This window comes from Homo sapiens, chromosome 8, assembly GCF_000001405.40.
Source record: "Homo sapiens chromosome 8, GRCh38.p14 Primary Assembly".
In the NCBI taxonomy this organism is placed as follows: Eukaryota; Metazoa; Chordata; class Mammalia; order Primates; family Hominidae; genus Homo; species Homo sapiens.
The window spans coordinates 80998472-81026320 of record NC_000008.11 but is presented as its reverse complement, the minus strand read 5'-3'; the positions used below and the strand labels follow the sequence as shown (position 1 = coordinate 81026320).

General features: G+C 40.8%; 1 protein-coding gene and 1 long non-coding RNA gene across 18 annotated transcripts in view; both read left to right on the top strand.

Moving 5' to 3' along the window:
- Positions 1–27849, top strand: part of PAG1 (phosphoprotein membrane anchor with glycosphingolipid microdomains 1) — a 144259-nt gene that overhangs the window by 85748 nt on the left and 30662 nt on the right. The window lies entirely within an intron of this gene.
- On the top strand, positions 58–26586 carry LOC124901967 (uncharacterized). Its single transcript, XR_007060979.1, has 2 exons — positions 58–98; positions 1025–26586. It is a non-coding gene; the product is annotated as an uncharacterized LOC124901967 (long non-coding RNA).

Sequence of the window (27849 nt, the reverse complement as noted above, 5' to 3'; positions counted from 1 at the left end):
GCTAGAGTACAACGGTGCTATCTGCGCTCACTGAAACCTCTGCTTCCCAGGTTCAAGCGATTCTCGTGCCTCAGCCTCCTGAGTAGCTGGGACTATAGGTGAATGATACTATTTTATTTAACAAACACTCATATTGTACCTACAGCGAGGCAAGCACTGGTCTAAGCACTTTGCAAGTATTAAACTTTAATCTGCCTGATCACCCTATTACTATTATTAACATTCCTGTTTTACCAAAGAGGAAACTAAAGCTCAGAGAGGGTAAGTGACTTGCCAAGGAAGGGTAGAAACAGCATTGGCATCTACTCCAGGGTCTAGGCATTAGGGCTCCATGCGTCTAAACACGGGTGTCTCCTGGACCATAGCAGAGCTTGCTTAACTGTCAGGCCCCTTTAGGGTCTGTAAACACACACACTGCCCCCACAGAGGTACACACACCATGTTATGTTGTCATTTTTGGAACTCTATCCCCATTGACTGATGGCATTTGCTGCAGTGGAGGAAGAATTTGTCATCCCTGTCCTTCTAGAATTCAAAGTGGGTGCGGACTAATCCCTGTTACATGGTAAACAGGATTCCAGGCACCTCCTCCTGTGGCTGTCAGGGTGAACTGCATCCTGTGACATGCCTGCAGAGGAACGCCCGAGCAGCATGTAGAGAAAGGACCAGGGTACTGCCCTGCCCCTCCTTTACAGCTTCTTCACTGGTGGGTCCTGGGCCCTTTGACATACCATGGCCCTGGGCACGGTGGTGTAGCACGACCTGCCAGTGTGGAGAGCAGCCGCTCTCCAGGATGGACATTTGACAATTCCTCCCTCCCCACTGCCATGGGGATTTAGACAGTTGCTCCTGGAGGCCTTGTCTTAACACAGAACTTCCCAAAGTGGAATCTGAGGAGTTTGATGGGTGCAGCTCTCTCTCATTTGGGCGCCCCCAAAAGAGAAAACAAACAAAGGTTTATTCATGGTTGGATATGTTTGGGAGACATGGGTTCAGCAAAATTAAATTGATTTACTTATTGCAGGATTTCTCAGAATTTTCTTGTGACTCTCCAAAGCAACATGTAGAATGCAGAATGTCCTACATTTTATATTTTCTCAGGTGGGTGAAAATGTCTGTCAACATCATTTGGTCAGTGTTGTCTTAAGGAGAGGTAAAAAAAAAAAAGAAATCCACCGTCATAGGAGGCAAACAGATATTGAGGGAAAATCAATAAGCTACATTTGGGGTCTCTAAATTCCAGTCCCTTTTTAAACTGATAGCTATTGGGACCTTAGAGCCTGAAATTTCTCATTTGTAAAATATGGAGGATAGAACTGAATTATCCCTAAGCTTTTTTCATCCTTATAAGCTGGTGACTGTTTTGTTCCAGAAGAGTTTTAAGAATAAGATACAATACACAACACATCAAATGAAAAATTGGTGAGGGTAAAATGAGGCACAGAGAATGTAAGGTAGAAAAGATGGAAGAAGGAGGGAAGTTATTATGCAAAATACATTCTGTGAAATCCTTCATGGTTAATATGATAGAACCAAATTTGGTTCTATGCTTTCTAAGGAACAGTTTGAAAAGGGAACTATGACCACAGCTTTGTAATTAACAGACTCCTAAACTAAAAACAAACATTTTCCTAAAAGAAACAACTGTTCCCAGTTTGAACAAATTTTTCCCATGGCTTTTAACTCTGTGGTATGGCCCTTTAGTCTTTTAGGTAGAAATTTCAGCTCTGTGGTGGGATGGCACCAAGATTTGGAACCTCAGTAGATACACTTCATAGGTCTTGTGGATACATACATTTAATATACATCATCCTCATTTACGGAACCATTACATGTTGTAGCCCAGCCCAACTTGCGTATATGTGGAGGTGTTTGGGTCTTGACTCTGGACTCCGGAGTATTCTCTCCATCCTGGAGGGGCCGTGTGCCAGGAGCCCGGGGGTGTCAGCCGCTCTCCAGATGGCCTCCTTTGTGCATCCTCACATCAGTTCTGGGTGCACCCTTCTCCTTCCTGCATCTCTAACTTAGCATTGGCCGAGCCTGGATCGGGGTTTCCAACAGCCTTTTCACAAAATCACAGCGATGCAAAGCTGTCCCAGGGGTTTTGTGTTGTTCAGGGTGGTAAAGGTTCAAACCTAGGTTCTATTTTTTAAGTAATTATTAATAAATAAAATGATAGCTTAAATACGTTTTAGAAAATAATACTGCTTCAGGACCTCTTAATGTAAGTGAAGCTATTAGTGCCAGTCAGATGAGTGAACATGCTTATGACTCACATAAACACTGCAAGCCCCCATGGGGGCTTTAATTAGTTTTTATAATTAGTCATTTACTGTTACTTTATACATAGAATGGATAACTGATTACAGACAGTAAGCAGAAGAAGCAACTGATGTTGTGACGATTATCATTTGCAGTCATCTGGTCAAAATTCTTACAGACTTTTCATGGTGTAGATAATGTTTTATTTCCTAAACTGGGTGTGTATTTCCTAAACCTGTGTTTATTGCATTATTCTTTTAATCTTAAATATCTTAATGTATTTGTGGAGTTTTATATTAGTCTATTAGGACATTTATATGGTATAAAATTCAATGTTGATAAAAGAAAAAGTAATGATAATCATATGTAATTTGACCTTGATTTATTAGAAATAAATATCACTCATACCCTCTGTCTTTCCCTCTCTCTCCCTTTTTTTCTCTCTCTTTCTCTCTCTCTCTCTCCTTACATTGTTCCTGATAAGCTGACAACAGAGTCAAATGAAACACAAATATATATATATATACTGCAGAGAAATGCATACAAACAGCAGCCTAAAGCTTTATCTTGTCTCATTATTTTATAATTAAACACAAAAATTATTGCAGGTTGATTATTTTTGTCCAAAATGCAAGATTACCAAATATTCATGAATGAAAACTTTTATCTCTTTATCTATCATGACATATTAATTGTAGCTTGAAATTTATATAATTGGTCCCAAAACCAAGTATATGCCCATTTGTCATTTCAAAAATTTGTCATTTCAAAAATTTCAAAAACAAGTCATGCATTTCATTACATGATGAATTTAAAGTAGACTAAGTAGCACATCACTGTTAAATAAGAAAAAAGTCAAACTAGAATTAGTAAAATTTGTATTTAAATGAACTTGTTAATGTAACCTTTAATAATAATTAACTTAAAATCAAGTAATTTTACTTAAGGCACTTCTTATGTGCCATAAAATTTTAAAATAATTAAAATATCTTCCATGGAGGTTTGCAAAAGTTTATGCAAGTCAAAAAACATGAAATCTTTAAAGAAGCCAGGAAAAGATATTAAAATAATTATTTGTATCCAATTTAAAGAGAACCTTGCTGTTCTTGAGTAGATTACTGGTAATTGGATAATATGAGGTCTGGTCAGTTGCAGAAGGGAGATTAAAGGCCAATGGGGTAGTCAGCTGATTTGAAGAACATGTTATAAAGCAGTTCTTGCTGTGCTTTGCCCTGTCCACATCATAGAAAAATCTCCTATAATTTCCTGTCCCAGCTCTCAGTGAAAATCAGGGATCACCTCTTCAAATGAATACTAATCTTAAATATGTTAAACAAATCCCTATACTGTTTTTTATGTTCTCTTTTTATTGAAGATATACATAGATATTCATACTATTTTGAAATGCCAATTATAAATTAGTACAATTTTCCCAATAATATATGGGCATTATTGTGAAATGAAATACCTTTTACCTTTAATATATGGATTTATGGACACTATTGTGCCCATATATTATTTAGAAAAAATATAGTAAGTAAATTTTACATCTACTATTACATCCAAATGTGGCTAACAATTCAGAATGACTTAGATAAGCATCGTTATTTTCCAGCAATATTGACATTGCTTGGCTGTTCCAATTGTTAATTTTAAAACCCAACTGTTATCAGACTAACTATGATTTAATAAAACTTTGGTAAATGTCTAAAGGAGCCTTTCAGTAAATATGATCTAAGGAAAAAGAAATATACAGAAATGAAATAACTTTTACATTTGATTAATTGAAGTAAGTTGCAACATTTTTCTGAATTGCAGTTAGCTTTCATTTTCAGACTTTGGAAGAACAAGTCATTTGTACCAGGAAGTACATGGTAAAGAACTATGTTTGGCAACTTAGAGAACATTTTTAGCATTTGAATTTCCCTATTTATAGTACAGCATCAGGCATAGTAAAATGTTTGGCATTTCTATAAGGGATGCAAATGCCTTAACATTCACTGTTGTGATCTAACAATTCATTTCAGAGTAAGATGAATCAGTCTTGTTTGGAAAATGTTTTACACAAATACTGGCAAGGAAACTATCACTGCATTTCTGTGGATTTTAAAATGCAGACTCCTCTAAAGTAAATGGTGACAAATTGCACAATGTTTTTTCTTTCTTCTGCGTTACCATGCTTCTATGTGAACTGACTTTTATTACTTTAAATTCTCACACTACTCTACTACATTCCTTGCTTTTTAGATTTTGTTAATCCATGCTGGAATCAGAAACTCTGTTTCCAGGTCCTTCTAAATGTCGAATTCTTTTTAACCTAACCTTCCTTTAATCCACAATGTTTTCCTCATAATTGAAACCACAGATTACTTCATTAACATCTGCCCTTTTCTTTTACATTAGAGAACGTGAGAATTGTAATTTGTAGGATTTTGCCCTTAATTTGCTACATAGAAAAGAAATACTTGTATTCTCCCTCTTTCTCTCTCTCTATCACACACACACACAAACACAGAGGCACACACACACACACACACACATGCACACACACACACACTTGAAGTAATGAAAAATGAGCAGACTAAATGTAATGCAGCATCCTAGATGGGATCCTGGAACCAAAAATAAAAGGACATAGGGTGCAAACTAAGGAAATCCAAATAATAATAATAATGTACCGATATTGGTCCATTAATTGTAACACATGTACCATGCTGACGTAAGTTGTTAATAATAGACTAGAAAAAATACAGCAAATTCATTTATAACTAACGTATTAAAAACCATAGTTGACTTCAGCCTGTTTTGTGATAAGAAGAATTGAAGTATACAAAGTGATAATGATATCTCCTGTTGTCAATGTCTTCTACTGAACATAGTCATCTATAGCAAAGGCTGGCAAAATCCAAGTATTTGGCAAAAGCTGGAGACCAAATCCAGCCCTGCCATCTGTTTCTGTAGGGCTTGAACACACTTCTGCTGTTATCTTCCAGATGCCCCTAGCGGGGCAAGAGGATGCAGGCTCAGATGATCTGGGCTCCATTCCCAGCCATTTGGTGTTGTGGGCATTGTTTGACTTATTTAACCTTTCTGGATGTCATTTTTCGTATCTGTGAAGTCAGAGGGTCGAACCAGGTTTTTCAGAACCTGTGGCGTGGAGAATTCTGACTCTGAATGTGTGTTGGAGGTCCATTTGTGATTACAGCATAGAGTTTATTAAGGATGAAATTTTGGCATTAAAGCAATTTGCATGCATTATATATGCAATATATAGCTTAAAACATAAGATTACCCATCATTTTCGGCACTTTTGAACTCTACCAAAAAGGAATTAAATAATCACAAAAAGGAACCCTATTGCCACGTGTATTAGTCTGTTCTCATGCTGCTAATAAAGACATACACAAGACTGGGTAATTTATAAAGGAAAGAGGTTTAATGGAATCACAGTTCCACATGGCTGGGAGGCCTCATAATCATGGTAGAAGGCAAAGAAGAAGCAAAGGCACGTCTTACATGGCGGCAGGCAAGAGAGAGCTTGTGCAGGGGAACTCCCATTTATAAAACCATCAGATCTCACGAGACCCATTCACCATTATGAGAACAACATGGGAAAGTCCCGCCCCCATGATTCAATCTCTTCCCACCAGGTCCACAACATGTAGGAATCATGGGAGCTACAATTTAAGATGAGATTTGGGTGGGGACATAGCCAAACCATATCATTCTACCCCTGGCCCCTCCCAAATCTCATGTCCTCACATTTCAAAACCAATCATGCCTTCCTAACAATCCCCCAAAGTCTTAACTCATTTCAGCATCACCTCAAAAGTCCACAGTCCTAAGTATCATCTGAGACAAGGCAAATCCCTTCCATCTATGAGCCTGTAAAATCAAAAACAAGTTAGTTATTTCCCAGATATAATGGGGGTACAGGCATTGGGTAAATACATCCATTCCAGATGGGAGAAATTGGCCAAAACAAAGGGGTTACAGGGCCCATGCAAGTCCAAAATTCAATAGGGCAGTCATTAAACCTTAAAATGACCTTTGACTCCATGTCTCACATCCAGGGCATGCTGATATAAGAGGTGGGCTCCCATGGCCTTGGGCGGCTCCACCCCTATGGCTTTTCAGGGTACATCCCCACTCCTGGCTGCTTTCACAGGCTGGTGTTGAGTGTCTGTGACTTTTTCAGGTGCACAGGGCAAGCTGTCAGTGGATCTACCATTCCAGGGTCTGGAGGACAGTGGCCCTCTTCTCATGGCTGTACTAGGCAGTGCCCCAGTGGGAACTCTGTGTAGGGGTATCAACTCCACATTTTCTTTCCACACTGCTCTAGCAGAGGTTGTCCATCAGCTTGCCACTCCTGCAGCAAACTTCTGCCTAGACATCCAGGCATTTCTGTACATCCTCTGAAATCTAGGTGGAGATTCCCAAACTTCAATTCTTGACTTTTGTACACCCATAGGCCCAACACCATGTGTAAGCCACCAATGCTTGGGGCTTGCACCCTCTGAAGCAAGGGCCTGAGCTGTATGTTGGCCCCTTTTAGCCATGGCTGGAACTGAAGCGGCTGGGATGCAGGGCGCCATGTCCCGGGGCTGCACAGAACAGGGGGGCCCTGGCCCACTAAACCATTTTTCCTTCTAGGCCTCCAGGCCTGTGATGGGAGGGGCTGCTGTGAAGGTCTCTGACATGCCCTGGAGACATTTTCACCATTGTCTTGGTGATTAACATTTGGTTCCTCATTACTTAGGCAAATTTCTGCAGCTGGCTTGAATTTCTCCCAGAAAATGGGTTTTTCTTTTTAATTGCATCATCAGGCTGCAAATTTTCCAAACTTTTATTCTCTGCTTCCTCTTGAATGCTTTGCTGCTTAGAAATTTCTTCAACCAGATATCCTAAATCATTTGTCTCAAATTCAAAGTTCCACAGACCTCTAGGGCAAGGGCACAATGCTGCCAGTCTCTTTGCATAGCAAGAGTGATCTTTACTCCAGTTCCCAACAAGTTTGCCATTTCCATCTGAGACCACTTTAGCAGGGACTTTATTGTCCATATCACTATCAGCATTTTTATCAAAGCCATTCAATAAGTGTCTAGGAAGTTCCAAACTTTGCCACATTTTCTTATCTTCTTCTGAGCCCTCCAAACTATTCCGACCTCTGCCTGTTACCCAGTTCCAAAGTCAGTTCCACATTTTCAGGTATCTTTATAGCAGCACCCCACTCCTGGTCCCAATTTACTGTATTAGTCTGTTCTCACACTGCTAATAAAGACATGCACCAGACTGGGTAATTTATAAGGGAAAGAGGTTTAATGGAATCACAGTTACCCATGGCTTGGGAGGCCTCACAATCATGGTGTAAGGCAAAGAAGAAGCAAAGGCCTGTCTCACATGGCAGCAGGCAAGAGAGCATGTGCCAGGGGAACTCCCATTTATAAAAACATCAGATCTCATGAGACCCATTCACCATCATGAGAACAGCATGGGAAAGACCTGCCCCTATGATTCAATCACCTCCCATTGGGTCCCTCCCACAACATGTGGGAATAATGGGAACTACAATTCAAGATGAGATTTAGGTGGGGACACAGCCAAACCATATTGCCATGTGAGTCACTTATGTACTAGGAAAGCAAGACCAGTTGTTTTGAAATACCCATGTTGAATCTGAGCTCAAAATCATATTAAAATATTAAATTGTGCCTTAATTTGTGATAAAGTATTACTATCCAAATGATAATGTACACTTTGAGAAAGAAAGATTTTAGGCTAATGTACTTTAAGATTGTACACTTAAATGCAATTTAGCTTGAATTTGTTATTCAATATAGTCAATAATGTTATGTGGTATTTAATTTAGGCCAATAAAGTTTTGAATACCTAATTATGTTAAGGCCTTTAAGACAGTTGAGACCTTGCCAAATGTTCATATTATGCTTGTCGAGTTAATTATCAGGAAGTTACTTATCTGATCATTGTTTCTTAATTTCTATTGAGCCAGTCATTGTCCTTTATAAGAAATTATTTTCCAGCTGTAGTATTTCAGTGCTGGGTTTTGATTATAGACATATAAAAAGGGTTTATTTAGGACTGCCTTTAAAATTAAATCTGATCATAATTATTTGACTAGTAGAGGCACTCTAGGAAAAGGTTGAGTAGTGGCTGTCCACTTTGGCTACTCAGTAAAATTACCCAAGGGGCTGTTTAAATTCCCATGTGCAGGTATACCCTCAAACTAATTAAGTCTATCTCTGGAGGTATTTTTTTAAAGCTCCCAAGGTCCTTTGAATATGCAGCCAAAGTTGAGAAATACAGGCCTTGAGAACAAGCAAGGAAAGCCTCCTGGGGAGGTCTTTCTGTAGTGGAATGCTCCTGCTCTTTGTAATTGGGTAGCTTGAGTAGCTGTGAAGTTCTTTAAAGAAGATTATTTTCAAAAAGAAAGAAACTTACCAATATCTGGAGAGGGGCAGAAAGCACGTGTTGCTTGCCCTAAGTCTCCATCCTACAAATACCAGGAGAGTTTGTCCTGATTTTGAAAGGATTTAGGAGGTAACATCCTGCTTTTGTCAACGCATGGTGTTTGCTTTGACTTTTGTTTGGCATCTTATTTCACCTACAAGATCAGTGGGAGCTAAAATTTATTGAGCGCACCTGCTAAGTATCAGGTCCTGTGCTATAAACATCACTCTGTCTCACAGCCAGGAAAGATAGAATTATTCACTTAGAAATAAAAAGTCAGAGTTCTGTTTTGTTAGAGAAATCTTAGTGTAATTGCATAAATATTTAGTGATTTCTTTATTCATCTGGTGACCTTTGTTGAATACATATGCTATTCCAAAAATAAGTTTAAACATGCCCAAAGAATACAAAGGATCTGTATTCATTATCTGTTGCTTCATAACAACCTTAGTGGCTTTAGATGAACATGTATTTAGCTCTTGATTCTGTGATTGATAGTTTAGGCTGGGCTCAGCTGGGCAATCCTCTCGTCTTGGCCAGGTTCACTCATGCAACAATGGTCAGCTGTGGTTCAGCTTTGCTGATCTTGGTGGGGCTCTCTCACTTTTCTGGGAGCTTTAACTGAGACAAGCTGGCTGACCAAGCTCTGTTCCTTTGGCCTCTCAGTCATCAGCAGGGTCAACCTAGATTTGTTGGAATATGGAGTTAGGGTTTCCTAGAGAATGCCTAAGTATCCACGGCACCTTAGGCCTGGTGTGAGAATGGGCACACCATCACTTCTGCCACATTTCCTGGCCAAAGCAAGTCACAAGCCCAGTCTAGACACAAGGAGTGGGGAAAGAGATTTCATTTCTTGATGGAAGGTACTAAAAAGTCACATTTTAAAGGGCAAGGAGAAAGGAAACAGTGAGCAATTAATGGTTATTTTTTGCAATCAACCACAGGTAGAAAACTTCAGTTCTATCTTGGGACATTAGAGGGTGTTCCTGAGAAATGGTAACATTTGAGCAGGTTTCAAGGGTAGAAAATATATTTCAGGTGAGGCAATAGCATAAGGAGAACTGTCAAATTGTGCTTTCATTAGTGAAAAACAAAATGGAGGTAGTAAGTTCCCTAAACGTAGAAAATATGTCTAGCCGACAACTGAGCATGTGGAAGGCACTCAGCATGTACTTTCTCATTTACATCAAAGGGCAGTGAAGTGACTAAGAGTGTAGGCCCTTAAAGCAGGTATAATAACCTGATAGCCTTACCATTTACCAGCTAGTTTGCCTTGAACAAATTACTGTGCCTCTTTAGTACCATGAGGACAATAATACCTCCTATAGCATTTGCTGCATAACAAACCACTCCATGACTTAACGGCTTAAAAACAACAGCCATTTACTCAGCAGCTCATTCTACAGTTTTATAGTTTGGGCCATCTTAGGTTGGAGGTTCTTCTGGTCTCAGTTGGGCTCATGCCTGTGTCTTTGGTCAGCTTGCAGTCAGCTAGATGTCTCTGCTTCTGAGGATTGGCTGGCTACTGGGGGAACAATAAGGACAACTGGATGACCACCTTCTCATCATCCAGCAGGCTAGTGTGGGCTTATTCACATAGAGGATCAGCAGAATTCCAGAGTGAGAGTAGAATCATTCAAAGCATGTGGGCTGGGTTCAACATTGACACACCATTGCTTCCAATGAGCTCCATGAGCTAAAGGGAGTCACAAATCAGCCCACCATTAAGAGTAGAGAAACAGACAGCATTTCTTGCTGGAAGGAGCTCCAAAGTCACGTTGCAAGAAGTGAGGATACAGGGAGGGGAAGACTTGTGACCATCTAGGGAATCTTCTATACCTACCTATAGCTCACAACAATCCTGTGAAGAAAAAGTTAAATATAACTTGATTTTTCTAGGTGAGGCTCCAACCTAAAAAGTACCAGGCTAATCATAGATGTTCAATACATGGAAAGTATTAACTTTTTCCTATGAAAATTAGAAATCAGATTTTAAGCCAAATTCTTTAATTGCTTACTTTTATAGAATATCAGATGAACCTCCAAGTGCTTCTTACAAAGGTTAAACATTATACATTCTTTCCCTGTTGCAGAAATATAATGTAAGTGGGTAAAGCTCACTGCCTCTGAGTGCATGTGTATCTTGGCCTGACAGTCTGGCAGCTGCAATGTGTAGAATATGCTTATTCAACATAAAGGGTCAACTCAGGAAAAGAACCAGAGACGGTCAAGTACAATGTTTCAGTTCCCAAAATATTCAAGGCCTTTTATAATGGGTAAGAACTCATTTCAAAACCTATACAAAGAACAAAAACCTTAATAAATTGTTATTGATTTCTTTTACTGTTATGAGTATTTTCATAAAACCAGCTAAGCCTCATATAGTTCTAGATTGATCCACACATTGCTTTTGGATCCCATAAATTGCATTCAATGGAGATTTATTTATCTGGCAGCTAAAATACCTCTAATCAGTGATGTGAACTGGATCAAAAAATACCTATACTCTTTGAAATAAATAGAACATCAAAGGGTATTCAAGAATGTGTAGTGCAGAAATATGGCAAATGTGCATTGAGGGTGGTGCCAGCTTTTTTATAATTATGGAACTTCTAAGTCCTTAAATGATAGAGATCAGATGGTTCTTGCGCTCTGCCTCCTGACTTCAGCCTGCTTTACCCAACCCACCACCTCCAAAAGCTCCAAAGCCCACAAAAGGGCCCTCTATCCGCCCGATTGCACCTCATTCCCAAACACTGAATGTCCACTGTACTGCTTGTTCCTCTTAAGATTTTAGAAAGTCTTAGTGGTGGAGTGATTAAGAACTGTGGCTCTGATCCTCATGTCTCTCACTTTCTTCCTCTCTGAGTGACAGGGGAAGCTTCTGAAGCTACAAGCCTCCTTCCTTATTTCCTTAATAATGGTCGTACAAAGACATGTTTACGTGGCCATTCCATCACATTTAGAGTCATTTGCTGTTAACAACAACAGAAATATTGAATCCCCAACGATTTATGTCATTAGAAAAGAAAAACAAATATAAATTAATTAACATTTTCAAGACATCCCAACACAGGTTTGCTGATGGTGTTGCTTTGGCTTTCAAAGCCTGCTAGTCCCCATCTTGCTCTGCAGCACTGGAGTATGGGTCACTTTCTGGAAAGGCTTCAGTGCCTTTGCTACAGAGTAAATAGTTTGTTTTGAACTCTCAGTTTGTTTTTAAAGTAATGTTTTATGGGCCATGTAATGAAGTACCTAACATAGTGCTAAGCACATAGTAATAAGTATTTGTAGACCTGATATGTCTATCTTTGCATGCCTGAGAATGATTTCCGGTTTATAAAATTTGTGTTGGCAAGGAAAGCAGTTTTTGTTGCTACTGATAAGCCATCTGGGGCTTGATATTCTAAATTTGATGACTCTATTTACACATAATATCTTTTAGGGGGATTCCATATTTTTTACGTTTGTTTGCCAAACTAGAAGTTATGTACAAAGTTGTAAGCCCAAAATCTGAGAATTTTACCCTGGCAAACCCTACAAATATTTTAAATTACCGCAATGATTTTTTAGTAAATAAAATGTCAATGCAAATATGTGGAACTAGATTTCAGAGATCTCAGAGATCCCTGAACATTCTATGGTTCTTTATACTGGCACTGTAGAGAATTTATATTATATTGAACATTTTATATTAAGCATATGTCTTGAGGCCAGGTGCAGTGGCTCACGCCTGTAATCCCAGAACTTTGGGAGGCTGAGGCGGGCGAATCACTTGAGGTCAGGAGTTTGAGACCAGCCTGGCCAACATGGTGAAACCCTGTCTCTACAAAAAATACAAAAATTAGCCAGGCATGGTGGCAGACACCTATAATCCCAGCTACTCCAGAGGCTGAGGCAGGAGAATCGCTTGAGCCCGGAAGGCAGAGCCTGCAGTGAGCCGAGATCACGCCACTGCACTCCAGCCTGGGTGACAAAGCAAGACTCTGTCTCAAAAACAAAGGGCAAGGGGAACTTGATGTTGAGTTGGATATGGGAGGAAACAGAGAGGGTGGTAAACAGGGAGGACCTGGGATTTGACCTTGGCCAACTAGCTGAAGGTGGCACCATTTCCAGAGAGAGGGGCCCTGGAGGATGACCCCAGGGGCAGGGTACAATGGAGAGTATAGCCTTGCGCACACTGAGGCCGAGGGCCTGGGGGACACCCAGGCAGAGAAGCCCAGGTGCAGCTGGATATGGGATGGCAGCTCTGAAAAGAGGCTTGGGCCAGAGATACAGATCTGGGATCATGGCAACCTGATGGGAAATGAAGGCATGGTTTTGGATGATGTGTCCAGGAAGATAATATGCAGCAAAATCAGGAAAAGAACCCAAGACCATACCTTAAACAACTATGGTATTTCATAGCTAGGGAGAGGAGCCAATATCCTGGGGTGTTTTCTCAAATGTGTGGTTACCATAATTTGGCATCATCCTTTGACCCATACCTCTGCCTTTTAAGTTGGCATATGGATGATAATGATTCTGGATAGTTATACAGTGTCTGAAATTTGGTCTGATATTTTCTCACAGAAACTTATACACAAACCTCTGTCTTGTGGATGTGAGTTGACGGACATGGGTAGGCAAAATTCTTGCTTGCTATTTGATGATTTAAGTGACAGAAGTGAAAAAAAATTTTTTAAATTCTGGTATGTAGACTTAGAGGCTTGATCAATGCGAGTTTGCATTATCGTTAGACTTTCTAGCTAGTGCCCAGGGTTTCCTTTTGCATCACACAATACAATGTCTGGTTGTGCCTCTTTTCCTGACATTAAAATTCATCAGTGGATTCAGAAGAACCTGCTTATTTTAAAAACTCAATGTATATATAATATATTCAAATGGACAGCTGGTATCTGATTATTTCTTTATTTTAGTTACAGCTGTGTTAAATTCAATTATAAATTATAAATCATAATAGAAGAATCAGCTGCTTTGAATGCAGGAAGATGCAGATTCTTCTTTAAGTATGTTTTTGAATAAAATAAGATTATGTTAAACCAGCCAGGGAAGCAGCAAAAGGAGTTAATATTTACTGGGTGCCTACTCTGGGCAAGGGCACTGAACTGTGCATGTTGCACAAGATACAAATGTAGCTGATTTTGGTAGGGGTTTCAAATATACTTTTCTATGCTGAATGGCAATCTGAAATACTGAAGATACTGAATGGAGCTGACATGCAAACATAGGCACATGTTTGGAAGGCTGGCAGAGTGTGTTATCAATATGGCTTAAAGTGCTAGTCTAGACCAAACAGAAGTGCCTCAAAATAGTGGTAGTGCCCAACTGTCATTCCATATGTCAGTAGGATTTGTCCTGAAGATATTGCAGCTGACTTCTTGGCCAGTACTCTCAGTATCATGTGGTAATAATGGAAGGATAAGATTACTAACAAAAGATCCCAGGCTATAATGAGTCCACTAACATTAAATGGATGCTTTCTGCAATGTACCTCCCATCTCAAGCTGACATGTATGGAAATGAACAATTGCAAGAGACCCAAAAACTTTACCATGGCAGACTGAGGACCCTATGCCAAATAAACATGGTGTTACTCCCGATAAAGTGATCTAAAGAAACCTCAACAGACGATTGGAAGTACAGTTTCAGACATTAATGTCTAGCTGCCTTCTGCTGGAAATTGAAAGGAACAACTAAGATTGCAAAATGTGCAAATGGAGAAGCCCTCTCTACCAGAAGCTTGGAGCCAGCCAGAGGTCAGCAAAGCACAGGCTGCAAAACGCCTTCTCTGCAAAAGTAGCTGGCACTGTGAATCTAATTAAAATCCCAACATGTGCATATTGCATGAGGGACTATAGCTTAAAATGAAATTGCAACTGTACACATTCATTATCTATTAGCCATCAGTAGTTACAACCTTAAAGAATACAGGATTGTATTTGGTACTATTCTTAGTAAGACTGCAAAGATATGCATTTATTCACTCCATCAATATTTACTAAGCACCTGCTCTGCTGTAAGTGCATGTATTAGTCCGTTTTCATGCTGCTGATAAAGACATACCTGAGACTGGTCACTTATAAAAAAAAAAGTTTAATGGACTCACAGTTCCATGTGGCTGGAGAGTCCTCACGATCATGGAGGAAGGTGAAAGGTATGTCTTACATGGCGGCAGGCAAGAGAAAATGAGAACCAAACAAAAGGAGTTCCCCTTATAAAACCATCAGATCTTGTGAGACTTACTCACTACCATGAGAACAGTATGGGGGAAACCACTCCCATGATTCAGTTATCTCCCGCCAGGTCTCTCCCGTAACATGTGGCAATAATGGGAGCTACAATTCAAGATGACATTTGGGTGGGGACACAGCCAAACCATATCAGTGCCTTAGTTATAGCTGCAAAGACAAACATAGAGTTTGTGCTCATGAAGGTTCTATTCTAGAGGTTGTACATACAACAATAAACACAAAGGCCAATAAATAATATGCTTTCAGATAAGGATAACAGGAAAAGACAGCAGGGTAATGAGATGAAGGCTGAGTGTAGTGGAGTGGACGGGAGAGTTTCAGAATGGTTGGTCATAGAATGCTTTTCTGAGAACACGATCTTTAAGCAAGACTGAAAAAATAAGGAGGAACCAGCTGTATGATGACCTGAAGGATGTTCATTCCAGAAAACAAACAGCTAGTATAAAAGCTCCAGGTGAGGGGAAGCTTGACATGGTCAAGGGCTAGAAAGAAAAAGCACATGAGAAGTCATGGTCAAGGAGACCAAGGAACCAGCTGAGGCTGGAATGGTTGGGTCCACCTGCCCCATGAGAACCCTTCAATGAATGTTGGTCAAACTGAGCTGAACAAAGTGTACTGTGTCCGTTTAAACAATGAAGGTCAATAGAAAAGCTAAAATAGCCTAAATCATAAAGAAAAGTTATTGTCATAATAATGTGTTGATTTATTGTACATTCTTTCTAAGAATTATGGATCATTTTGCAAGTGGATAGAGAAATGTATTTTGGATCAGCTTTGACATACGCTTAAAAACAGTGGTATGTTACCCTCAAACAAGTAACAGGCCAAGAGATTTTATATATTTCTTGTTGAAATTTTTATATTTGAAAATGCTTAAAAATAATGCTATTTTAATTTCTATAATAAATTACAATAGCCATATAACTTTTGAGGGATGCAGAGAAAACTACATAGAAATAATGTAGCAAACAAGCAAAAAAAAGTGTGGCTCAAAATCCCTATCTTCTAAATCTGAGTCTTTATGTTGTGTGAGCTCAGATACCACCCTCTGGAATAGATTCAAAACATGATCTGTTTTGGCCTGGGCTTTAAGGATATACATGTGAGAAACTTTGGTTTATGTGAATTGCAGCATAGACTCGTTATGTGGGAAGAGGAACAATGAGCTGTATCTGTTTTATATTGCCACATCCTGATTATGACATGTTCCAATACTACAAGAGAAATAAGATGGAATAGCATCTGCTAGTTAAGAGTTTAGAAATATGAATGAATAGTCTAGCTCAGTGATTCTCAGCCCCAAACATATATTCAGATACCCTGGGGACACCTTCACAAATATCAATGTCAAGGCCCCATTCCTGATCTATTAAGCCAACTTTGAGAGTTAGACCTCGGCATTAGTGTATTGTAAAAAGTTTGGCCTGGGCACAGTGGCTCACACCTGTGATCCCAGCACTTTCGGAGGCCAAGGTAGGAGGATCACTTGAGGCCAGGAGTTCAAGCCCAGCCTGGGCAACATAGCTAAATTCCATCTCAACAATACATAAATAAAAATTAACCAGATGTGGTGGTACATGCCTGTAGTCCTAGTTACTTAAGAGGCCTAGGTGGGAGGATCTCTTGAGCCCAGGAGTTCAAGGTTTCAGTGAGCTATGATCACACCACTGTACTCCAGCAAGGGTGACAGAGACCTTGTCTTAAAAAAAAAGTTGGCAATGGATAGCCAGGGTTGAAAACCACTGGTCTAATTTAATAGGTCGCCATAGTCTTTAGGATACCGTTGGTTTGATTTTCAGCATCTTAGTCTCTATATCTCATATCTTATCATCTGGGTAATACTTCATTATTTTTTTTAGAGATCAGAGCTTATGGTCCCTAAGGTTAGTTTGATGGGAAAGTCTTTTCCTTTCTGACTTCCTTTTTCCTTTTATTCTTTGCTCTTTTGAAAATGTATTTTCCTTCTAAAGCATAATCTGGAGATTGAGAACTTTTAAAATCTATAAAGGAATAGTCCATGGTAATTAAACTTCAAGTTTCATGTATCCATTATTCAGAAATTAATATCTGCTTCTAAAAATATTGAAGTTGTTATAATAAAGACACATAAGGTTTTTTAAAACATATGAAATAAAAAACTTGTAATTGGCATTGGTGTAGGCAGAGGAAAGAAAGAGCTAGACGAAGATAATTGCTATAATTAAAGATAATTACAGCTTTGAGCATCCAGCCAGCCATGTGAGGGGAAAAGAAGAAAGGAAATATGATTTTTGTATGTGTAGTTTATCTTTTATACAAAAAGGCAAACTACTTCACCAGGACAGAAAACCTTCTTCTGAGAAGTAAAATCTCTAGGAGTTTATCACACAGACACATAAAGCTTTATGTACCACACAGTAGAACAATGTCATTTAATAGTTTTATGAGAAATTCAGATAAATCAAGATAATTTCTTATATTAATATTTTATAAAAGCTACTTTTATGACATTACTTCATCAGTAGGTTCAGCTGCTACCTCATAGAGTCCTGAGCTCATGTCAGTAGGACTGTGCCAGCTGCAGTCCTGGAGGATGTTGGTATTCCAGTGAGCTGTGGCAGAGCATGTCCTTCAGTTCATCTGAAAGCCATACGAAGTCACAGATGAGAGGAAGTGGAGCAGAACACCACTCTGTTAGGAAACGTGAGATTGGAATTTGATCTGTCAGGTTCACCTTACCCTTTTAAATTCTTACAGTAGTAGTATTATATATACTACTATATTATATATATTATATATTAGTATATAATATGTAGTATTATATATATTATATGTAGTATTATACTTTGGGAGAGTATTAATAGTTTGAGAACTATACTGTAGTCATACATCTTGGTGTCTTAGATGGATCCTGGCTACAGAATCAAAAACGTATGATAGATAAGTGGCTACTGCAGAACACCTTACATTGTTCTTAATTATGTTCTTCGTAAAGGGAAGCAGAGTGTTACCAGTGACTACTAGTGAGCCAGTTGCCCCTAAAGTTTGTTTATTCCTGAAACACTATAACATGGCAATTTATTAAGTATAATGAAGTAGAATTTTGAAGAGTTTGGAGAAAGGTCTAAAATATGTGATGTGAAAAAGACTGAATTATTCTTGTTTATGGGATAATAGCATATTGTTTTACAATTTGTGTCTAGAAATCACGTAACTGTTAGAAATAATTGCTTACAAAAAGAACTAGAATGAAACCACATAGCTTATATTATTTAATCCGATGGACAAAATGATACATACTAACTTCTTTTCCCAATAGCAATTACTAGATGTCAGTGGCTACCTTGATTTTCCTAGATGAGTTTTCTTTTTGTCCTAAAAACACATCTTCTTGTCCTGTTTTGTAAATATATTTTTCTTGAAGTTTTCCTGTAATAGATGCATGAGAAATAAGCACACAGTGATTCCCCCGGACCAGATTCCACTGTTATATTTCTCACAGTAAGCATTGGCAGGGCCACTGCCACGGCTATTTAGTGCAAACCTCATGCCTCTAGGAGGTGCCACTCACAGAAATATAGTCTATGCTCTTAGTACAGCCAGACCTCCTCAAAGCCTCAGTGGCAGAGAAGTGTGAACTCACATTCCTGACTCCATGTGTCATTCTTCAAGCTCCCGTGTTTTATTTTTTAAGTTCTTTTTTTTTTTTTTTTTTTTTTTTGAGACAGAGTCTTGCTCTGTCACCCAGGCTGGGATGCAGTGGCACGATCTCAGCTCACTGCAACCTCCACCTTCTGGCTTCAAACAATTCTCCTGCCCCAGCCTCCTGAATAGCTGGGATTACACGTGCCCGCCACCACACCCGTCTACTATTTTTTTTTTTTTTTTTTGTATTTTTGTATTTTTAGTAGAGACGGGGTTTCACCGTGTTGGCCAGGCTGGTCTCGAACCCCTGACCTCAGGTAATCCACACACCTCAGCCTCCCAAAGTGCTGGGATTATAGGCGTGAGCCACCATGCCTGGCCTATTTTTTAAGTTCTTAATAGAACCTTGTACTCCATGAGATCCATGTTTCTTTTATGATAAATTAACTTAAAATCAAATAACTTCCACATTTCTAGAAGATGTTGTTGGCACCTTTTTCCCGCACTTCCCACAACATGTCTCTAATATATGCCTGTCCCTACCTGCAAACCTTGCCGCTGTATCATAGGCTACTCTCTCTCTCTCTGCCTCTCTGTTGAATGCCTTTAAAATACCCTTTCCAGAAAAAGAGTGAAAACGTAGCATAGAGAAGTGAAGGGGGCAGGGCTGTCAGAGCCATACTGTGATATTTGTTCTCATTGTACAACCTGAAGACTTTCCTTGGTCTCTACTTTCCAAAGAAAATGGAAATTGGGGGTAGAGTGACCATGTTGACTGCCTTACATACAAAGGGCTTTGAACTCAGCACAGGGAAAGGCTCTCTTTAAAATGTTAGCTTAATGAATCCATATTCTAAGGCCTCTCCAAAAAAGTTCTTAATACTGTGGCATACAATGTGAGTTCCACATATGATCCTTCAACTTGAAAACCTCTGTGACACTCAAAATGTAAAACTCTTCACATTATACTCCAAGACTTTTCATAAACACAGCCTTAACCCATAACTTCCATTTTATTCATGATTTCCAAATAGAAAAAAAAAATGGAAAATCTCGAGGAAGACAGTGTGATTTTAAAGATGTTCAGAATTGCATTCTTTTTGGTGCATGAGGTCTTGTAATCCCATTGGCTCCATGGCTTTCTAAGGAGGGTCAGTTTTCTGAGTTCTCCCTGTGGACTTCTGGAGTTTCACTGCCTCTGCCCCTGGGGACCCGCTATGAGATTAGATTTTTACTTTCACACTATGAACCAGGAACACAGTGAGGCTTGTCTACAGAACCAGTGAGATGGAAAGGGACCAGGAAGAGGTGGCACTTCAGTGCCCACACAGAGAGAGAAGGGATAGAGAACAGATTCAGGATTGGGCAGTGCAGGACTCACAAGCACGAGACCTGTGTCCTTCAAAGGGTTTTCTAGTGAATTACCTACTTGGGAATCACTTAGGATGCAAGATAAAAATATAGATTCTTGGCCAGGCATGGTGGCTCATGCCTGTAATCCCAGCACTTTGGGAGGCTGAGGCAGGCAGATCACTTGAGGTCAGGAGTTTGAGACCAGCCTGGCCAACATGATGAAACCCCATCTGTACTAAAGATACAAATATTAGCCAGGCATGGTGGCACATGCCTGTAGTCCCAGGTACTTGGGAGGCTAAGGTGGGAGAATTGCTTGAACCTGGGTGGCAGAGGTTGCTGTGAGTCGAGATCGCGCCACTGCACTCCAGCCTGGGCGACAGAGCAAGACTCCGTCTCAAAAAATAATTAAAATTTAAATTTAAAAATTAAAATATAGATTCTTGGGCCCCTCTCCAACTCTATTATATCTGGGCCTCAGCCCTTTAACAAATTGCCCCATGTGTTACAAGGCAGGACTGGGAGAACGTCAGGGAGTGAGGGATTCTGGAGGGCATCTTTGCCTGGGAAGGACGGCAAGTGAAGCCTATGAGGCTGACAGATGGAGGGGCAGGTGTGCTGAACGGACCTGCAGGACACGCGCTCTGATACAGATGGAGGCTGGGTATTCCATAGGGCCACAATCACACTTATCACTTCAGTTGACAGAACACGCACTTGCTCAGAAATGTTCTGTCCCATTGTTGTGTCTCTACTAGAGACCCTCCAGTTTTCTCCATATTGCCTTTTGTATCGGGTCCAAGGTCTTTTTGGCTCTCCAAGGTATTAGCAGCCTTTGAAATGAACAAGAACCTCTTCCAAAGAGCATGACTGATTCTGATCACTGAGTTCCACATTCAGCCATGTCAGACTGAAAGAACAAGATCTGCACGAGTGTTACTATTCTGTTGTACTGATTTCCCCCACCTGTGTTGACTTAATTTTAACTTCCCTAAATTGGAGAATGGAGGAGAGGGAGATCAATGTATTGGAGTATATAAATACATACATACATACATACATATATATGCCATTCTCTCAGAATTCCCCCTGGATTAAGGCCAGCCACAGGCAAAGAGGTGAAGCAGAAAACAATTACCTGGAAAGCCCCCTAAGTCTATTCCCCCATGTCCTGTCTCTCTCAGATGCACAAGGCCCCTGCGTCCTGGCCTCAGCCCTCTCATCCTTCTCCTTCCCCTCTTTTCCTCACCAGGTGACTTGGTCTGTTGCCAGTCATTTATGTTCTGTGTGATTTTGAATGCATGTGTCACCTCTTGCATGAATATTTTCTGTTTTAAGCTTTCACTTTAACTGTAAAGTGAAATCAGTTTTCTTCCATTCAGAAAGTGGGGGAGGTAGGCTCTATACAGCACCTTCCTGGTCCCTGGGATCCAGCCCATCCTCAGAGGCCGGCTGGCCCTGGCTGTGGTCAAGTGCATGCGTGGGAGGGAGTCCTTTCCACCGTGTGAACATGCAAAGGCTGTCTTTGGAATCCACCAGACACATTGGGGACAGTTCTCAGCTTGAAACAACATCAGTCCAAGGGCATTGCAGCTGCATCAATGCCATGGAGCCTCTGCTGCCAGGCTAAACAGAATCAAGCAGCAATTATTGTGATTAAATGTTGTTTCTAGTGCAACATGGTAGAAGTGAAAGAACTTGTGGCTTTTTTGTTCTGATTGCACAAGCTTGGAGTTCAACAATAAATGGCTTTTCATTTGTGGTCAAAATACAGCTCTGTATTAGGAACTTAATCCTAAACAGGTTTTTACCTCTTGCAAAGTTTATAGTGGTCCAATATTGTTTCATATTCATGGTGTGATTAGAAGATGAAATTGTGCCTGGCACATAGTAGGTATTTATCAATTATGTGTTTAATGAATGACAGAGTGTCAGCAAGTAGAAAATATCATGCGAGGTATTGGTCAAGAAACCAGTGAAACCAACCCGAGTTGCAGACTGCCTGTAGTAAGAGAAACAGAGAAGCTTTCCAGAATCTCTTATCACATATGGAACCTCCTCAAGCTTATCAAGTCCTGAGATTAGAAATTAAATGGATCCATTTCCAACTTGCTTTTTGTGTAAGATTTTCAATATTTTGGGTATATGCCTTTAATCAGCCTCGGAAGCTTTCAGGAGAAGTGTTTTCTTTCTGCGTTACCTGTCCGTGCACCATCTGTGTGTTTTGGTTCTGTCTTCGCATTTTGTTGAAAGGCTACTCTAAATTTGAATTGTAAATATGTAAATATGCCAAGTACATGTTAATGAAAAAATAACGAGACTTGTAAGTCAGCCCTGCAGCCGGTGTACCATGGTGATGTTGCCAGAGTGCAAATGGTGTTTTGGAAGGGCTGTCGGGAGTGATTCCCGGCACTGCATGCTGACTAAAAAGGCCGTCCATGGCTTCTCTTCCTGACATCCACCTAACTGCTGTGGCCTCATCAGGTTTGCCTCTGAATTACTAAGACTGTGCTTTCTGGGAGTTGAAACTATTGATCACATTAAGAATTTAAGATTCTTGCTGGAGCAACATTCTCCTTTGTGTGGAAAGTCCTGAATTTTTATCTTAGACTTTAGGAATCACTGGCAACTTATAAAATGATAGAAACTAAGGGTTCAAAAGAACCCTTAGCTTCTTTTGAAATGACCACATTTTTCAGAAGGGGAAACTGAGGCATGGGGCGGCTTGGACTCGCTTCAGGCCACACAGCAATTCAGTGGAAAAGAATGGAGCAGAACCTGGTCTGTACTTCTACGTAGCAGCAATGTACCCGATCACTGCCATTTTACCAGACTCTGGAGTGGGAAAGAGCTGCCTTATATTCAAGTTCCTTTAAGGGAATCAAGAAGGCTCCTAGGAAACAAAAGCTCTGACTTTATCATCCCATAATCTTTGAGTAAACTGAAGGCTAGGTTCCAGCTCCAGGGATCCGGCTGTATAACCTTCAGCATCTGTACTAGTGCTACTTCAAATGTAGTTCACAGACTGGCAGCCTGGATGTCACCTGGAAGCCAGTTAGAAATGCAGACTCTTGAGCCCCGCTCCAGACTTGCCAAATCAGAATCTGTAACAAGATCCCAGATCACCATATATACATCTAGCAGCTCTTCTAGAACAGTGCTTCTCAAACTTCAGAGTGCGTCACGATCACCTGCAGGGCTTGTTAATACAGAGGTTGCCGGGCCCCGCCACCCCCGAGTGTCTGAGTCATAAGTCTGGGGGAAGGTTCAGAATTCTGCATTTCAACAAGTTCCCAGGTGCTGCTAACTGGGACCACCCTTGGGGAAGTTCCATTCTACAAGAACCATGACCCTGTCCCTTCCTCTACAAGGGGCCTAGGAGTCACACCCCTTGAGTCATCTGCCTTCCCTGCCCTCTCCAGGCAGAAAGCTGTGAGGATAAGCTCTGGACATATATTTTTAAATACAAGTTCTGACTTTCTCTAATCAAGCTAGTCTCTCTTGAAACATTTCCCCAGCCCTAAGTAATTCACAATAACACCAGTAAATAACTTGGAGGGATGTGTGTTTTGAGGATTTTGGTTCTATTTTTATGAATCAAGAAATATTTTGCCTGGCTATTAATATTTTTAAAACTTCATAAAGATAGCCATTATTTAAGTACTGCGTAATGATTTCAGCCACATTTTTGCCATTGCTGGGTACAATATTAGCACTGTTAAGCCAGCAGTCCTTACGATGGCAGTACATCTAATGGTGTGGGAGAGACCACAGGACGCGTTCTCTAATTTGGCACTAGCTCACAGTGAACTGGTGTTACAAACTCCTCTGTTGACATTCCTTTGACATATGAAATGACCATCTGCTCTTAAATTCTACTTCTCCAGTCTTGAGGGTTTACTTTTCCCAGATCAAGCATCTTTTACTGTGCAGTCCCAGTGAGGTAGTAGCTGTCTGCCGAAAGGGGGCATTTGTAGTTAGCCCAGGCTAAACAAGTGCTAAAAGGAAGTGGATCTTTTCAATATCATGAGCCACGAGTAGGAAATTTGATTGAGAGGCATTTGTGTCAAGTGGTACATTTTTGAACCTCTTGGCAAAGAAACTGAAGTTTATTTTTTTTTAAGTCTTTTATTATGAAAAAAAAAAAGGTGGCTGAATTACTGCCCTCAGAAGCCAAATAAAAACAGTGCAAAGCAATGCTTAACAGAGCGTGACTGCAAATAGTGCTGGTCTCAGTAAACTGGCCTGCCTGTAGACACCACATCCATCACAGCAAAGCTGGTGGGATGTTTGTAAAGCCCTCCAGATACCTTGGAAGGAGGTTTATGATTAATGCATGGCTGGGAGTAAGCAGTGGGTGTACCAGATGGGAGTGAACATTCTTCTCTCTGGCCCTAAAACAAGTCCTGATAGAGTGAAGTTAAGATTGCCAGGGAGATGGGTGTGGCTCTCACATCCTCACCTGTCTGCTGCTGTCCCAGACAGGCCAGACGCCTGGAGGTTGTGAATACCTGGGGCTGAGAGCATGCTGGGCAGTGTGTTAGAAGAGGAAGTGCTGGGGACAGAGCCTGTAGCTGCATGACCCTAAATAAGGCACTGAACTTTGAGCCTCAGTTTCCTCATCCATAGAATCGATTCAATAACATCTACCGCAAAGGGTCATGAGGACGAAATAAAATAACCCACAGTAAAGTAGCTGGCAGACACACAGTCTGTGCTCACTTCCATTTTTCGGTGCTTTTTATGTCAAGCCTATGAGTCAAAACTGGTATGTAGCGAGCCTCTTGGGGGCCCTGGAGGGAACTTGGGTAAAGCCACAGTAATGGATTATATGCAAGCAGGAGCACCATGGAGACCAACCTACCCTGGCCAGGTGGTCGGGCAAGCAGGCTTTTGTAGGTTCCTTGTGCCCCCATCAAGTTTCAGCATCACTTGAGAGGACAGAGCAAAAGGGTTTCTTCCAACTCTTACCACCTTTGAAGATCTGACCAATATGCACTTCCTCTTGCCTCCTTTTCTTCCTCTTAACTATTAATTCATCCAATAAATATTAAGTGCCTACTGGGTGCCACACACTACGGCTACAGTTATGAACCAGATAGGTCAGTTTGAAGTTCCTCCCTCCTGGGGCTTAGCCCAGCAGAGGAGACACTTGAATTGCTTCATAATTTCAATTTTGAGTAAGGAAGGAAAAAACTTGTAAAAGATGGGCCTCAGCCACACCTGAGAGGTGGGAGGGTTTTGGCATCAGGAAAGCTGCCCCAAGGAAGTGAGACTCATAGGATGCTTAGATTTGTCAGATGAAAAATGTTGGAAAGAGAGCCAACAATGTTTAAGGCTCCTTTTTCCTTTAGAAATGGAAGGTCCAGCCCCCTTGAGGCTTGTGTGAGGAACCTAGGAGCTGGAGAAGGTGTGAAATTGTCATTGCAGAGAGGGGTCAGAAGAACACTAAGCTTGGGGACATGGTGAGATTACTGGAGTTGACAGGCCTGCTGCGGGGGATGAAGACACTGATATTACGGTGCTGTGACTTTTCTCAGGAGATGTTCAGCTGCTTCAGTGACAATACAGAGAAGCCAGATGGCTGTGTTCATTCCAGAGTGAAGGATTTGCCTTAAGGCCAGGTGCGGTGGCTCATGCCTATAATCCCAGCATTTTGGGAGGCCTAGGCTGGCAGATCACTTGAGATCAGGAGTTCAAGACCAGCCTGGCCAACGTGGTGAAACCCCATCTCTACTAAAATTACAAAAAAATTACCAGGCGTGGTGGCACATACCTGTAGTCCCAGCTACTCAGGAGGCTGAGGCAGGGAATCACTTAAACCCAGGAGTCCTTACAATCGATTCAGTAACATCTACCTTAAAGGGTCATGAGCCGAGATCACGCCACTGCACTCCAGCCTGGGCGACAGAGGAAGATGCTGTCTCAAAAAAAAAGGATTTGCCTTAAGACACTCTTAGCTTATTTTTTAATTGTTTGCTTAGTGCGCTCATCCCTATTACTCTCCTTCCCTTCCTTGTGGTATAAATTATGAATTAAACTTGCATTTTGAGAATCTGCTTGAGAATCTACTCACCATTCTTCCTACAGAAACATGTATTCAATAAAAATTCCTGACTGGCTCCTATTTCCCAGGTCATAGAGGTGCTAGGAATATGGTGGGAAGTGAGGTGGAGACATCCCTGCCCTCAAGGAAATTAGATTGGATGAGCCAACATGCAAGGCAGGAAGAAATAGAACCTAAAGCCCAAAATACACACTGTCTGAAACATTCCATGAAGCCTTCTTGTGCAAAGTGAATCCCCACTACCCGTGCTCCTTATGCAGTCAGTGTAGAACGTACCGCATTAGCCCAAATAGAAGCGCATCTCAGGGTTCTGTCAGAGTGCATGTGATACGTACTTCTAGAAAGACCATGCCCTTGCACTCTGCCTCCCTCCCTCTCTCGTGTCTCTCTCTGTCTCTCTCTCTTCACCATTAAAAATGAACCTTGAGAATTGGCTTCCAAGTCAGAATTTGGGGGAAACCAACCTTAGAAGTGATTCCTTACCCATCAAATTCACTTGCCTTTTGGCTTGTCTGGGGCAAAAGTGTTTATAAACAATAAACTATATTATTTCTGTGATGTAAGTTTAATGTATTATTGAAGACAAGTGACAGCCCCACATACCCCTCCACCAAAAGGGTCAGCTTTCCTGTTTTCTGTGCAGATCGATAGGTTTGGTGTGTACAAAAAGTGACCAGGTTATGCTGACAGACAGCCATGAGGATTTATAACTTGCTTTTAGGATGAGTGCCGGTCTCTCTCCCATGAGCAGTGAGTCCTGATAGCAGGGTCACTGTGGTCTGGTGATGTTAAGGCATTCCAGGTTTCTTTCATCTACACTCATTCTTAAACTGCTGCAGAAAGAGATGTCAAGATATCACTGGGTGGGGACATTAGAAAAGGATTCAGGAATCTATAAACAAGAAAAGCTTACCTTCCACCACCCTCTGTGCTTTGGGTGTGTTCTGCCCCTGACTCAGTGCAGGATCAGAATAGGGCGATCTTGATAACAATCATGTGTAGGCAAAAGCCTTTGTACCTTAGCAGGATGGAATAGTAAATATCTGGGTAGGTGATTCCCCATGTGTTTCCAACAGACACTCATCCGTGCAGAGTTCAGTGTGGCAGGCTTTTCTGTAGCACAGTCCCTGTAACCTGAACGGAAGACTACCTGAATTTGCACACTTTAGCTTAAAACTCTTTCTGGGGCTTGAGGATTCTGTTCAGAGTTTATTTCATCTTAGCCTGTGCAGCTGTCAGTGTGCTCACAGGACCAGGGAACCCACCAAAGAATCTGCTTCCTCCGCCATCATTAAATCTGGTTAATTTAGAGCCCACAAAGTGTCATTTTACCACATGGTTCCCACGCCTGGTAATGACCAGGAAGGAAGAATTCCCACTGGGATTGGGCCCTTGACCATATTTCATCCAACAGTGAGGGGTCATGAGTGGAGGTGGTTTCTATCATGTTTAATTATGTGTCAACTGCAACAGCTGTAAAAAGGTAATGACTATCATTACTGACCTAGACCTGCTTCAAAAGAACTCTAAAGTGTCTGTTTCCATATCTAATCTCACTGGCCATCCCATCTCTACCAAATTATTATTTATAGAATTTGCTATGATCAGAGAACCTACCTGTTAAGGATGTTTGGCCAAAGAAATAAATAGCTGCCATTTGGTCTGCACCTTTCATTAATTTGTGTGGTTTTTTTTTTCTCCTGTTGGAATTGATTTTGGTGGCTGATAGTGCAGGCTAATGAAGACAATTCAAATGCCAAGCATAAGGCACCAACAATAATTGAGCAGCTTTCCTTAAAGAAAGTGCTGCATAGGGCTGAG